The sequence below is a fragment of the Homo sapiens genome, chromosome 13 (assembly GCF_000001405.40).
Source record: "Homo sapiens chromosome 13, GRCh38.p14 Primary Assembly".
NCBI classification, from domain to species: Eukaryota; Metazoa; Chordata; class Mammalia; order Primates; family Hominidae; genus Homo; species Homo sapiens.
The window spans coordinates 73755359-73770609 of record NC_000013.11 but is presented as its reverse complement, the minus strand read 5'-3'; the positions used below and the strand labels follow the sequence as shown (position 1 = coordinate 73770609).

At 37.6% G+C, this 15251-nt stretch overlaps 1 protein-coding gene across 20 annotated transcripts in view, besides 2 other annotated features; it reads left to right on the top strand.

Moving 5' to 3' along the window:
- KLF12 (KLF transcription factor 12) overlaps positions 1-15251 on the top strand; it is a 619957-nt gene that overhangs the window by 535436 nt on the left and 69270 nt on the right. For 19 of the 20 annotated variants that reach the window (NM_001400153.1, NM_001400139.1, XM_011534909.3 and 16 more), the window contains one exon: positions 5610-5672. The exons of the other annotated variant lie outside the window; for it this stretch is intronic. In NM_001400153.1, coding sequence (NP_001387082.1) covers positions 5610-5672 — 63 coding nt within the window. The remainder of the gene's footprint in view (positions 1-5609; positions 5673-15251) is intronic. 20 annotated transcript variants of the gene reach the window in all.
- Positions 2490-3125: an enhancer, noted in NCBI's record as "OCT4-NANOG hESC enhancer chr13:74341622-74342257 (GRCh37/hg19 assembly coordinates)". NCBI's record gives its function as "activates a minimal SCP1, AML or CMV promoter by ChIP-STARR-seq in primed H9 embryonic stem cells {active_cell/tissue: H9 hESC(primed)}" and the evidence as "EXISTENCE:reporter gene assay evidence [ECO:0000049][PMID:30033119]".
- Positions 4119-4619: an enhancer, noted in NCBI's record as "NANOG-H3K27ac hESC enhancer chr13:74340128-74340628 (GRCh37/hg19 assembly coordinates)". NCBI's record gives its function as "activates a minimal SCP1, AML or CMV promoter by ChIP-STARR-seq in naive H9 embryonic stem cells {active_cell/tissue: H9 hESC(naive)}" and the evidence as "EXISTENCE:reporter gene assay evidence [ECO:0000049][PMID:30033119]".

Sequence of the window (15251 nt, the reverse complement as noted above, 5' to 3'; positions counted from 1 at the left end):
CAGAGGTTTCAGTGAGCCAAGATGGCACCACTGCACTCCAGCCTGGGTGACAGAGGAAGACTCCATCTCAAAAAAAAAAAAAAAGTTCACATATTAATTGTATATAATATTTAAGTTCAGCCCACTTTTCTAAAAGTAACATAAATGGCTTTTCATGAGAGAAATTTTAGTATAAAGGCAGATGGAGAACCTTTTAAAAATATATGGCATTTCTAATAGTCATTTAATCACTGGCCTGAGGAAAACCTGAGAATAAAATAGGCCCACTGAATTTAAACACTGGTCACACTCATATTTTTATTTGGTCATGGGTAGTGTGTTTATATTAAAATAACATCTAGAGTAACCTAAATCATCAGGAGAACTTGTATTCAGTACAACCGAGTGTAAGAAGAAAGCAATACCAAGAATTATTTTTAAATTATCTTTTATATAATTCTGCATAGGAAAATTCTGATATTTAGTAATTGTGGAGTTATTTTAGGTTAATCTTTTCTTCAGCAAATGTAGTAAACTGAGTTGTTAAAGTATGTATTATGTTTAATGCTTTGCACAATGTATAGATAATCATTTAATCATTAACCTAATTAAAATATAGGTTAATGATTATATAACCTAAATGGTTTTAGAAAAAGAACGTATTTGTACATAATAATTTCTTATAATCTTGGTATAAAATATCTAGTCTTGCTAGATGAGTAATGTCCTACAAGAAAGATTTCATTGGTCTGTGGAATAATCATTTATTCTCATTCTTCTCAGTATGAAACAGCCTCTCTAATTTATGGGGTGTGAGCACAAGTGGACTCACATGTTATTCTAAGGGTTTTTGGCCTGAGCAACTGAGTGAATAATTCCAACATTTTTGAAATTGAGAAGATACCAGAAGGAACATCTTTTTTTTTGTTTGTTTCTTTCAGAGAAAGGTTGATATTAAGAAACCTGGGTCTGGTTTTCAGAGAAGATCTAAGGCTGGAGGTAGACATTTGGGAGTCGTGATGATGTGGATGGGAAGGTCATGATGGTAGCTCAGTTGGAGCCTCTTTTAGCTACAGAGTGAGTTTAAATAGTGGAGAGGAAAGGTTATAGGACAGTGACAACTAGCCCATGCCAACATTTAGAGTTTGAAAGAATGAGAGGAGGAGGTTCAAGCAAAGGAGAAAGAAAGGAGGAAAGCCAGAAGAATGTCTTGGCTGCTGAGTAAAGAAGCTGTTCAAGAATGGAGTGATAATTTATGTCAGTTGCTGCTGAGAAGTTGAGGACTAAGAATTCACCATTAGATTTGAAAACATGGAGACTATTGATGGCTGTGATGAGGGCAGTTTCATCAGAGCGGTGTGGATACCAACTACATTGGATTCTAGAGAAAATGGAATGTGAGGAAGCATGGCTATAGCTAGAATTAATTTCTGCCCTCTAAAATTTACATGTGTTGTACATTATGTATTTAAATAGCAATGCTAATATAACAAGGAACATTCATAAACAATTAAAGAGATAAAGTATATTATTATGACTGTGCTTCTTATAAGTACCCACATGCTTCATATTTAGTCCAAGAAAACCATTACTTCCACTTTATATCTACTTATATTATAAAATGTTCAATTGGGCTTAAATACATGGAAAATTTCCTATTTAAGACCCTGGTGCTAATTCATCTTATTACATCCTCTGGGCTGGGTGGAGGGAATATATATAAGTATCAGATGATAATCTTATATCATCCATGATGTAAGACAGGTCAGACAGGTCAGACGTACCTGTGTTTAAATCCTGACTTTTCTCTTTACTACCTACGTGACCCCAGCAAGTTACCTAATCTTCTAAGCCTATTTTCTCAAAGATAAAATGTGGACAGTAATGACATGAGGATAAATTAAGATAATATGTCTTAATTATTTAGCATGATACCAAGCAAATAGTAAGGGCTCTGTAAATGGGTGCAAATTTGCATTGCCGTGATTACTGTCTTGTTCTTGAATGGGTCATAACTTAAATACTGTGCAGTTTAGTACACAGAAGATAGGTCTTCTAATAAAGAGCAGAAAAAAATGAGCTGCCTGAGAGTAAGCCATACCTTATAAGCCATAGTTTTTGGTTTGTATTATTCTGCCCATGTTTATTTCTTGGTTTGTTTTCTCGCCTTTAGTAAAGTTGTATAAGCACAGTAGGTAAGACTGCAGGCTCTGTAGAGCATATTTGTAATCTTAATCCCCTGGAATTACCTGGATAGTCCAGCTCTATCCTCTGACTTCCCATCCTTTCATGTCTAATCAGCACTGCTAGTGACAATAGCTAACATGTATTGACTGCTTCCTAAGTACTGAGCACCATTCTAAAGATTTTATAGCTGTTAACTGATTTAAACCTCGCAGCCCTAGGTAATAGGCCCCATTATTACCTCCATTTGCCCTGATGAGGAAACTGAGGCACAGAGAGGTTAAATAACTTGCCCAAAGATGACACCGTTGGTAAACGGTGAAGCTGGGATTCAGTCAGGCAGGCTGGTCACACAATTTTCACTCTTAACCACTTCATCCTAATTCCATTTGGGATGATAAGATTGCATTAAGTTATCACAGCTTTTCTGTGGTGCAGATAGTAAAGTGGGACCAGTATCCTTCCCCCAGCAATTCATGAGTGCTGATGATTTGTGTTGGGAATCAAGATGTTGCATCCCACCTCCAGTCACCAGGGGGTGCCACTCAGGTAGGTTTATGAAAACATTGAAAACCAGAGTGATGGTATTCTCTTGATTAACTATAAATGGCAGTCATTAAGATGCAAGGTTTTGAGAGTCAGGTTCTTTGGTGCTTATACCCAAAGAAGAAAGAGCCGTTTTTGTATTAAGTCATCTAAAAAGTTCTCATATGCTTAGCAAGAAAGCTAAATTAAGCTCTGCACTGGGTAAAATTATAAACATGCTCTCTGCTCCAGATGAGTAAGTGTATATAAATAGAACAGTTGGTACACATGGCCCTAATGGTATAGCTTCCCTGTTTTCTATGTAATGTAAATCACCAAATGTGAGCATTTCTACCTGACAAACTGTCAGTCTCAGAAGAGCACATTCAATACATGTTACACAACAACCAAGATTGCCCTTTTGTTCAGCGTGGTGTTTTTTCTTTCCACATCCAGCAGTTAGTACTAAGGCCTGAACCCCTTAGTTACAGAACAAAGTGGCTTAGCAGTAATCGAGCCTGTGTGAGGCTAAGGGAAGAATAATGAACATTCCCTGCAAGCTTCCTGCCTAGATGCAGGTGCAAGAATCAGGAGGTCATGAATAATGCATGACATGCAGATTAGGTGGTGGTTTCTCCTACAGAGGTTTTGACGTTGCTACCTGCCTGGCTTCTATATGTGGAAAGAAGGCAGAAGATGGCAAAAAGTGTCACAGGTTAAAGACTGAGCTCAAAAAAACATGCCATATCCTTTTGAAGAAATAATATATAGGGGGTTGGTGAAGTGCAAGGCTTATGGTCTACTTTATCAGATGAAGTATGTGCCAAGTTATCAGTGTACTTATTCCCTTTGAGGACAGAAATAAAGCTTTGTTGATTTACCTTTTTAATTTAGGAAACCTTGTAATTATTTGTTCATATACACAATCAGGACTTCTTTTCCAAAGACTTTCCTAAGGAATTCTTTTCCTGAGACTGCTAAACCATTATAGAAATTCTCCATTTGCAGTATTTGATCTATGGATCAGTGAAATTTTCCTAAAAGATACAAATACCTAGACAATGTTGTAATTATGGATTAAACAGACTCTCTTTTTCTTCACTAATATATGCAATAAACAGCATCAATAAGAGAATACTTCTGTCATTAAACTTCACCCAGTGGAATTTTCATGATGAAATAGTTTCTTTGTACTCCTAGGGTTAAGGAGGGGACAATATAAAAAGTAAATGTGTAAAAGATAGAGAACAAATTAAAGAACTGTGAGTATTTGGGGCTGATTAAACTTTATTTAAATAGTTAGGATTCTGATACCCCAGTGAGGGTATAGGGAAAGTTCAGGAGAATTTCCTGCACTTCCTCTTAGGTCAGGGGGCTTTAACTGGGGAGAACTTTTTTGGCTCAAATATCCATTTTAAGGATTGTATTTCAAGCAGACAGAAAGTAAAAAAGTAAAAGAATAAAAGAGGAAAAAATTACGCTTGCTGCCTTTCGTATAATTTTTATGTACTATTATTGCGTTTTCCCCCTCTTTGTCCAATTTAGGATACTGGATTATGAACTGGCTTTCATTTCTAGCTGAGTCTGTCATTTCCACTAGGCCCCAGTTTGGCTGGACGCCGAGACCAACAGGTGATCCTTGTAGCTGCAAAACAGCAGGAAGTGGGCCGTGCTTGAATGAGACAGTTCACCAGAGGGGCTGTCTGGCCTCTCTCCATCTTTCTGCATAATTAACACCCCCTCCCCCATGCCGAGCAGAAAATCTGTGCTGAGCAGCTCAGCTGCAGCAGCCATTGAGAAGCGCTGTGAGGAAAAGAATGTTAATAAGGGATGTTGGAAGAAATAAGCCTTCCGAGTGCAAAGTGCAGTCTGGCTCTGGGTTTAGGGAAAGACTGCAGTTGGCCCTTAGGCGGGGCTGGAACTGCATTATCTGTTTTGGAATGATTTTCACTTATTAAACAACTACAGAGAACTGGGTTTCTTACAAACCTTGGTTCTAACTGGACTTTAAGACCAGTTTTATATCCCCATTTTTTTTCTTGTAAATAAGAGCAATGTATGAAGCATAAAGGGTGAAGGTAATACAAGCTAAGACTGCTTGGATCTCACAAATCCTGGCTAAAGACAGACCATAACAGGAAGCTGGCAGCCGGAAGTAGGGCGTATTGTTTTGCCGGTTAGTGACCCACAAAGAGGCGGAGGTTTACTAGCTAGGCTTTGATTAGAAGATAACAGCAGTTCCCGGAAGCTTTAAGCTGTTTCCAGTGGATAAGTCCAATCCTGGAAGCTTGGAAAGCAATATATTCTTCACTTCTCCTTTATCTGGCTAAAATTTTGAATTGACTTTACTTTCTTCAAAGTCCAGTGTAGCACATCACTTCCAGAATGTACTCCTCCTAGGAGTACCTGTTCACCCTTCCTTCCTTCCCTGTGCCTGCAGATTCTGTCACAGCACATTTGAATAACGTTGTTTGCTTCCTAGAGTTTTAAATGTGGTAGAGTGAAGGAGAGGGCACTTAGACACCTCTTTGTGCCCACCCTCATGGGAACAGGTACAAAGAGGGCTCACTGAACTCAGGCACCATACCTTAGATAACTTTTACCCACCCTTGTACCTGGCAAGGGTTAGGTATTCAGTCACTTTTGTTGGACTGAATGAATGCATCAGTCCTGCCTCTGGGAGTCTTCAGAGTGAACATTATGACAGACCTGTTGTCTTGAGAGTGGTTAAGAAGGAAAAAAGGACCACAGATTTGCAGGCGTAGGAATTTAATTGCATCATTTACTAAGAGGGGTTCAAGTTCTGGGGATTTTGTATTAAGCAATTCTAAAAGAAATTATTTATAAAACATGCCATTTTTTTAAATTTGCAATTGGGAATATGCTTTTTCAATGACTGGATTATTCTTCTCTGTCTACAGGGTACATCCGTCCCCAGTATCAAGGGTCCGGGGCAATCGAATGAATAATCAAAAGTTTCCTTGGTGAGTATACAGTCTAATATGAGTATTTGTAGGTCTTACGGGAAACTTTAATAGGGCTTATGTTAAAATTAAGAGAATTAGTCCTACTTCTCTATACAGAGTACATACCTGCTAACTGGACTATGCGGTCTTCCTTTCCTCTGGACAGTTCGAAATAAATATTGATAGAGTTCCTTTCCAGCCCAAACTCTTCATTCACCAAAAACCCTGAGTGTAACTTTTTTTTTTGACAGATATGATCTAAGTTCCCAAGATTATAAACTCTTACCTATTTTAAAGAATGTTTTCCTTTTTTTCGAAGGTACATAGACCCAGATATTTCTCAGATACCAACTTCAACTCCTCATGAAGATTTCCACAGTTAATGAATCTGTTACATTAGTTTTGGGGATTACAACGAACTCAGTGATTTTTTTTTTCCTTGCCATAGCCTTAAATATCCAGGATTTTTTTTTTTTTTAATTTGGGGAGTACTAAGATCTTCTTTAACTGATGAGTTCTTGAACAAAAATATAGATGGAATTTTGCAGAAACAACCTGAAAAGTTATTTCAACCAGAAAACATAGCTTATCGATTCTTTAGAGAAGCGATTTAAAGTGTTTCACAAATATTTCATGCGAAACAACAAAAAAAGTGGGCTCAATATCTGTATTTGTTTATATTACTCCATTCCACAAAGTTAACCTTTTAACACATAATGTGTTATTAAGGAAAAAAAAGAAAAACTAAAAAGAAAAAAATGAACTGTGGCTGTATTACTTCAAAGATGAATGGAAATTCCATTTTTACTTCATTGAATTATAGTTAGAATGAGATTTTGATTAAAACTATGCCTTTTTTTAAGTATGGGAAGATGATCACCAAAGATTGAGCTTCCAAATTAATTTTATTCCTAAATCAAGATTATTTTTAGACACAAAATAATGACACTTTGAATTTGAATCATGCCTAATCATCTCACCTCCCTTCCCCCACGAAATCTAATTAATTCTCACAATAGCTTGGCGATGTTGTTAAATATTGTGCTTTTCTTTTTCACAGAGGGGGAAATGGGGCACAGAGGCGTTTGCTTACACCTTGCCTCAGAGCCGGGGCATCCTTCCTCGTCTCTTACCATTGCTAAAGCATGTTATCCCCTGTCCGGCCTGAAAAGCTAAGGGAGTAATAATATGATGATCATTATGTGAAAGGAAAGGGACAAATCAGGTCTGTTCTTGACTTATCACACGCCACAAGCTAATGGGTAGAGTACAGAGTTGTCAGGTATGAGATCCAGTTTCCATAACTTGGTTCTCAATGGCTAAATGTAAAACATGGAGTAAATAACAGAGTTTCTTTTCTTGACTTTTCCTCTCTGAAGTATTGAAGTAATGATGTTCCTGCATAATTCATAGCATGTTATTTGTTTAGTAAGTGTAAACCTCTTGTATCTCCAGAGAAGTAATCCATGGAAAACAAAAGTGATGTTTACTACTGGCCTTGAGAAAATTCAACTTTTATTTATTCAGCAACATTTATTTACAGTCCCAGGCACTGTAAGAAGCACTAGATTAGAAAGATAAATAAAACATGGTTTCTATCCTCAAGGGCCTACCTGTCTTGCAGGGCAGATGTGTATGTGTATGTGTGTGTGATGTCACATACACAGGCACATATACGATATCACACAAGCACATAATATACAATGTGGGTAAAGCTCTAAGGAGATATATTTATAATATAATGTTTAGAAGGAGAAGTTAGCAGCTTTATTTAAGACTAATTTGAGAGTTCATACTTGGGAGGGGGTGGAATATAAAGGAAGGAACAAGGCTGTCAGAAAATCCATCCCAAAGAAGAAAGCTTTTGAGCAAAGACCTAGAATTAGTAAGAAAAGCAGAGTTGAGCTAGTGTTTCCTTTATAGATTGATGCACGCATAGAAAGACCTGGAGATATTTCCAAATTGACTCTAGTAGGAGCATACATGGATTTAATACGTGTACGTTATTTGGTCATAAGCTAGCTAAGATTTCTATGATATATACTACCTTGAATCTTCCTTAGGTAAATACTGTGAGTCTAGTATATGGAAATAAATCACCTGGCTAGGAAGAAGCCCCATGAATCACCCAGCCTGTACTTCTAGTAAAGTGATAAACACTTGTTATTTCTTAGTGAAATATTGGCCCTGAAAATTCAGAAAGTTTAAAGACTCACGCTGGCAATGAAGAGGAAGGGAAAGTGATAGTTGCTGTCCCCCATCTATCAACTGGGTAATTTGTAGGATTACATGTCAAGTTCAACACTAGCTTGGCTCTGGCTTGGGTTCAACCCGCAAACACTGTATTTGAGAATTAGGAACAGTGATTTTTGTGAAGGTAGCTTAGCAAATACCCCAATCAATTAAAAAATTGTGTTCATCAAATAAGTAATTAAAGTTCAGGAAAAGAAGAAAAGCCTCCAACTTAACACTATTAAGGTATGTATAGGTAAGGTATGAAAATCAGTAGGTTGGGAAAGCCTATGGCTGTTGTTGAGTTCCCAAACCAGTGTTTATTATTGAGTTAAGATGGTTTAAACTTTTAACTAGCATTTTTCTTTGCATGATATTGTTACGAGAGGCAGCATCTGCTGGCCTTGTTCATCTGGGAACATTTCCTCTGGAGCTGAAGAAAAAGAATATCTGTATAAGGCAAACAAAATCCACTGGAATTGAAAGTGTGGTAATATTGTACATACCCAGGGAGGAAACGAGAGTGCCAGGGCCTAAGAGGCCCAACGACATATGTTGGAGTGGATTCAGGCTTGCTATAACTGCCTGCTAACTCCAAGGGATTAAAGAATGGCAATAAGAACTTCTTGCGGGTATATTAGCACCCCAATAACAAATACCAGATCATTGTACAACTCATTTAGTATTGAATTAATTAAAGGTAGCAAGCCAGGCCAGACATAAACTCTGTTCATCAGAAAGTTTGTCCCCTCAGTACCACCATGCACTAGGAACATTTACTGATTTGAAGATTGATGAAGCCTTTGGGGTTTGGTCGTGTGAATTTCATTCTCTATTTCATCAGACCGCTCCTCTTTACCTTCACCCTTGTCCCTAAATGGAAGTGAGCATGCCTTCCTTTCTCCAGTGACTGTGGTAGGGAAGTAAAAACCTCTTTTCCTTCTACCCATCTTAGGTTTATTGGCTGGGGCCCTGTAAATTAAACTGACAAAAGACAGATTAACAAAGAAAAATGAGCAGAAGTTTATTAACATGTGTATTTACATACACACATGGGCATGAGTAACCCAGAGGGGTGGTTAGAGCTTGGACCTTTAGAGCATCTTAGCAACAACAACAACAAAAAGACAGTTTTTTAGAGAAGTGAAAAAGACAGAGGAAAAGGATTTTGAGCTTCAAGGGCGTGCAATTGTAGGAAGGTAAATAAGCGGGAGAAACTAATGGGAAATAAGGGATAATGAGATGTGTTGTGCAGATTCCTCTGATGCCATCTCTGGGTTGATACAGGAGAGTTGTCTCCAGTGATTAAGAATTGCCTTGCCCTTCCTGGTAGAAAGAAGGAGAGCAGAGACTTTTTCTTGTGTCTCCTCCTTTTTCATTGCCTGTAGCTCATAATAATTCTTAGGCTGAAGTGGCAAATTTTGAAGTGGCATATTCTACTACCCTTCACATTATAAACCATTTTTAGAATATTTGCCACTCTTTCTTGCATACAGTAATGCCAGAAAAAATCTATTTTTCTGCATTTGAGCCAAATGTGGAAAATTCTTATTAGAGAGTTGAATGTGAAGATAGACTTTTATTCTTGGCAGATCTTTTTAATTGAAATGATTATATCCTAATATCAGACCCACAGGAGAGCAGCTGTTTCCAGGTCATATTCAGCTGTTTTATTCCTAAAGATATAACAGAAATCTTTAAGCTACATTTTGGTGTGTCTGTGTAGGCTGGCATAGGACAGGGTGGTGTTTAGTGGGAAATATCTGTGAACCAATTATTGCAGTTGACTTAAGGCTCCAGAAATTTCCAGAATCCATGTTCATATTCTAAAGACGTGCACATTTATGTATGCTCCATCTTTAGATTTTCACTTTCTTTTTTCCTCTCCACTTCTTGCTCTATCCTGCTCCATTTTTAAGGTTTTAAAGGACTTGGGCATGTGTCGTTGCTTGATAATGGTGGCGGTAGTGATTGTGCTGTGTACCTAAAACCAGTATCAAGGGCTGTTGTGTAACAGTGGTAGTGGGAGTCACATAATACAAACTTTATGGGCTATTTGTATGATAACATAGGAAATACAGCGTTATTAATAGTAATCATTGGCCAAATGTGGTGGCTCACACCTGTGATCCCAGCACTTTGGGAGGCTGAAGCTGAAGAATTGCCTGAGCCCAGGAGTTTAAGACCAGCTGGGCAACATAGTGAGACGCCAGCTCACTATTTTTTATTTCCTTTTAAAATTAGCCAGGCGTGATGGTATGCACCTGTAGTCCTAGCTACTCAGGAGGCTGAAGCAGGAGCCTTGAGCCCAGGAATTCAAGGCTACAGTGAGGTATGATTGTGCCACCTCATTCCAGCCTGGGCAACAGAGCAAGACTCTGTGAAAAAACTATATATGTAGGAATTGTCATTAGTAAAATAGAAGTAATTTTGTAGTTTTCTCTAACCAATTGGATGCTGCCACTACCAGTCTCTATTATTATTTATTTATTACTAATGTGCCTAAGATTTTATGTAGCTATATACACAAAAAGTCTCCAGTGTTAATGAGGTCTCTATGCAAATTATGATGCATTCCGGGTGTGAATCATTTTTCACATTTGGGTGTGAAAAAGTTCTGTGTCACAAATTTTTGTGGAGGGCAGGAAGAGCCTTTTCACACTTCAATGTTTTAGTGTGGATGTATGGTGCTACAGTGAACTTAAATATTTATATTCATGCAGTTGCAAATGTTAGACATGACTTCATGGAATCTTTTTGAGGGATATAACTTGGAGAGTTTTGTCATAAAAATGAGAACATTCTTTCTTGCTTAAACCTTTTTCCTTAACAGAGGAAGGCACTGAAGTTGTAGATATTGGAAATCTCTCAGAAATCTAATGTAGAACAGTCTTTTGAGGAGGGACAGAGCATTTCCAAATTACCAACTTCAAGGCTATAAAGGAAATGCAAGCATCATCAAGCGCAGTTCAACCTCCTTACCTTACAAATGGAGGCCCCCAGACAAAAACGTTACATGCCAAACCTAGGCATAAATCCAAGCCTCTCTGTGCCTGTTCATCCAGGCCTCTGCATGCGTATCCAGTAGTCTTTCCATGACGTGGCAGTTGTCCACCTGTGCAGAGAGCAAGAGAAATGTGAATGTTTAATTCATTACAAGCTAAGCAGAAGGCTTTTGCCTGGGAAATTCCCATTAGATTGATGGGATGGGAGAGCAAGGAGAAATAGGAGAAGCTTAATGAAGACGTTGCTCCTCACACCAGTATGTGGCACTTACTCCCTGCCAAAATGTTTACTCATCATCTTACAGATCCTTGCATGCTCATTATTTATAGATAATATTGATTTTTTAATTTTAATTACTAGAGTATTTCACTGCCTTGCTTCTTGACTTACAGAGCAAAAATTATATTATGCATGGACTTTAATATGTGGAAATTCCAGTTCCAAGAATGCAAAGCCTTCATGGTCTTTTTAAGCCATGCGTGTTGGCAAATAAGTCACAGAAGGTTACCTTTAGGTTTGGTTTGGAAGCATGCTGTCTCCAAAGTTTGATAGGAGATTTGGAAAATGGGCCATAGTTGATGTCATCGTTAACCTGCTTGCAAGTTCTCTGTATATGTGCTGAATTACAATAAAAAGAAGTGCCTGCAGGGTGGTGTTACATTTTAAATCCCTCCAAATTCTCATCTTTTCTTGGCTATAATGCAGTATCACCTATTAATTTCTTTAATGACTTTACCTCCTCAAATTTAGCTTGGGGACAGTTACTTACACTTCAGACTTATGTTCTGTCTTCCAAAGTGACCGTATGAAAGAACTTTGGCCTAATTTTCTTAACTTCTCTATCACCCAGAATTTCAGCAAGAGAGATTCATGATAAAAGTAGTTTCTATATTCCTGCTGGTATCAGCTGATTTTGTCTCTAGTATTTCTTTAGTAACAGTAAAGATGATATAAGGGAAAAAAATTAAAGTAGATAATTTTCTGTAATTATTTCCCTAATTATAGGAGAATTAAGGCTGTAAGATCATGCTGAGGCCATAAAGGTAACCACTTCTGAGACATTTTCATATTAAAAACCCAGGAATAGTTTATCAACCTGCGGCTCAGAACCATATTAATATTGTACTGGAAACCTAACATGTGAACCCATAAGACATGTCATTGTACTCTTTGTTGATTCCTGGTATCTTCCCAACACTGTACCCAGGTGTGGTGCTATCATGTAATAAAACATCTCCGTCATACTAACTAATTACAGCATGAACAGGCAATATTGTTAACAATTCCAAACAACTTTGTAATTCTGGGGTTTGTAGTCTATTGTTGTCTATTTTTGTTCTTACAGTGGTTTTATACAGCAGAGGAAATTTAAAATTCACACAGTCTGAAATCATGATTTACTCTAGCAAAGCTGCTTAAACTACTGCTTCTTATAGGGGTTTAAATTGTATGATGTGGGTTATTCTCCATCCCAAACCTCTTCCTTTTAAAGTTGTCCAGATGTAGAACTTTAAAATAGCTGGGTGCAGTAGACCGGTTCCTGTAATCCCAGAGACTTGAGAGACTGAGGCAGGAGGATCCCTTGAGCCCAGGAGTTCAAGACCAGCCCAGGCAACATAGCAAGACCAACCCCTGTCTCTAAAAAAAAGAAAAATTAAAACTCAAAGCAATGGTCATGTCATAATGAAACATGAAGAAGGGAATGTGGGGAGTCATAAATGACTGATACAGAAAAAAAGACTGTGTCTCAATATGAAAAAATATATGTATCTGTGATAGAACCAGTACCAACCATGTTTAATTAACATATCAACTTAAAATGAAGAAGGATTTTATTTCATATATATAGAAAGAAGCCACATCCTTTCTTCATCTTTCATAGTATTTTTCAGTGGATATATTTGGGCTGAAAAAATTGGCTATCAATTATAATCCATGGCTGTCTTCTAAATATGCATTTGAAAGAATAATGACTAAAATTGGAACCCAATCAAAAATCTGAATGTGTTCATGCATTTGCTGGAAATACTGCTCAGGATAATAAATCTTAAGGGGTTCCCTGCAGGAATGCTCCATGTGCCAGCAGTTTTGTTCTGGTTTTCATCTGCTGGTCACATTTGCAATGTCATCTTTCTAGCTACAGAGATTTCTCCGTATACACATGGACAGTGAACTAGCAATTTTAAAATCAAACATATTCTTACCTCAATATAATTTTTCTCAGTTGACCACCAGATCTTCATAAAGTTTCTTAGTAATTTCCCTGAAACTAGCTATTTATTACATTTCTTGGCATAGTACAAGATTTGCCTAAGGTAAGACCAGTATCCTAATAATACATTTCTTTAAATTAGTTTTAAGAGAGCAATAGATAGCGTGCAACGTATTTATAAAAAAGATTTAAACCAACTCAGAATCACACAGGTTTTGTCACAGCTGTTTTACATAAGCCCTCAGCTAACTAATAGCTAAGGGGCTGAGGACCCTGCTGAAATCCACTGTCTACTTGTGGCTGTTATCTCTGTCTAAATATTCATTTAGTTTAGTCCCTTTTATCAGATGAAGTTCTTTTTTTGTGTAAATTTATGAGATACAAGTGTAATTTTGTTACATGCATAGGATTGTGTAGGTGAAGTCAGGGCTTTTAGAGTATCCATCACCCAAATAATGTATGCTGTATAGATGGGGTTCTTTTGTTGGAAGTAATGGAAACTAACTGAATATGGCTGCCTTAAGCAAAAGGTGATTTTTCAGGACATAAGGTAGGTTATATGGAGACAAAAGTAAAGAAGAGGATCTGGGCCTCAGGAAACACAGGAGCCAGGACAGCACCCAGGGTCCAGGGAGCAAGATTTAATCAGCAGGTACAGGCCTGGGAGGGGTCAGCTCTAGTTCCTCTGTGTCACCTCCTCAATAATCACAATAGAGGAAGCTAGAGTATGATTGGTCCTGGGTTAGGTGCCCAGCCCTTGGTTACAATCCTACAAAGATGAGATGAGGTGGGAGTAGTTTCCCAAAGGAAAAGTGTTAGTACCAAAAAATGATGGGAAAGACTACTCTTTATAAATTAGAACCATCAATTTGCCCTACCTTTAAATTACCTGAAAGCTCTCGTAAGGGTAGTAGCTTTTCCATGACAAGCTTTAACGCTTTCCATAAGGTCGTAATGCCTTACGTTTTAGAAAGTGAAAGCACTCTATCATTAGTTACTAGGTCCTTTCTCCTTGGTCTTACTCTTAGTTATCGAGTAGCCAAAATGTATGAAGGATGTTCAGTCAAAATAGACAGCATTCTCCTTGAAACCTAAGAGTGTTGATCTTAATCACTTTGAACCTTCATTTCTCTAAAACCCTACTTGGCATCACATATTTAAAAATGCAGCCTTTAAAACCAAACATACGTAGTTATTGCGATATCACATATACGATAGGCAGAAAACAGAGGAACTGCCTATGAAATGCATAAAGCTTTGATCTACAAGCTGGGTTCTGGTATAAATTTCTCACTTATGCTAAATTAGTCTTTATGGCTCTTTAAGATAAATAATATTTATATTTATCTTAAATCAATAAATAAATGATATCTGACCCAGACTATTCAAATTAGGTCTTGAAAGAATCCCCAAGAGGTAAGACTCTTCATAGCATCACCTTGAAAGAAAGTGCTTCACAGTTTGCAATTGCAAAAATATGCAACCAGCCCAAATGCCCATCAGTCAACAAGCGGATAAAGAAAATGTGGTGTATATATACAGTATGGAAGGCTGCTCAGCCATAAAAAGGAATGAAACAATAGCATTTGCAGCAATCTGAATGTAAAAGGAGACCATTATTCTAAGTGAAGTAACTCAGGAATGGAAAACCAAACATCGTATGTTCTCACTCATAAGTGGCAGCTAAGCTATGAGGACGCAAAAGCATAAGAATCATAGAATGGACTTTGGGGACTTGGGGGAAAGGGTTGGGGGGGTGGTGAGGGTACAGTGTACACTGCTCAGGTGATGGGTGCACCAAAATCTCAGAAATCACCACCAAATAACTTATTTATGTAGCCAAACACTACCTGTTCTCCAAAAACCCATTGAAATAAAAAAAAAAAGAGAGAAAGTGCTTTGTCAACCCTAAGTATTAGCCCACAATCAAATTTCAACTTTATGTAAAAGGAATCTCTTACTACCACCTAGGACATTCATTGACATGCCCAGCATTGGGTAAACAAGGCTATAATTTCCTTCAGGTCTCTCGAGCCTTTCCTAAACCTAACAGTTGAGAATTCTGAGCTAGAGGGTATATTTAGGTAGGACTGCAGTTCAATACATTACATAAATATGTACTTGTATGTTACCATGTTTTTGTGATT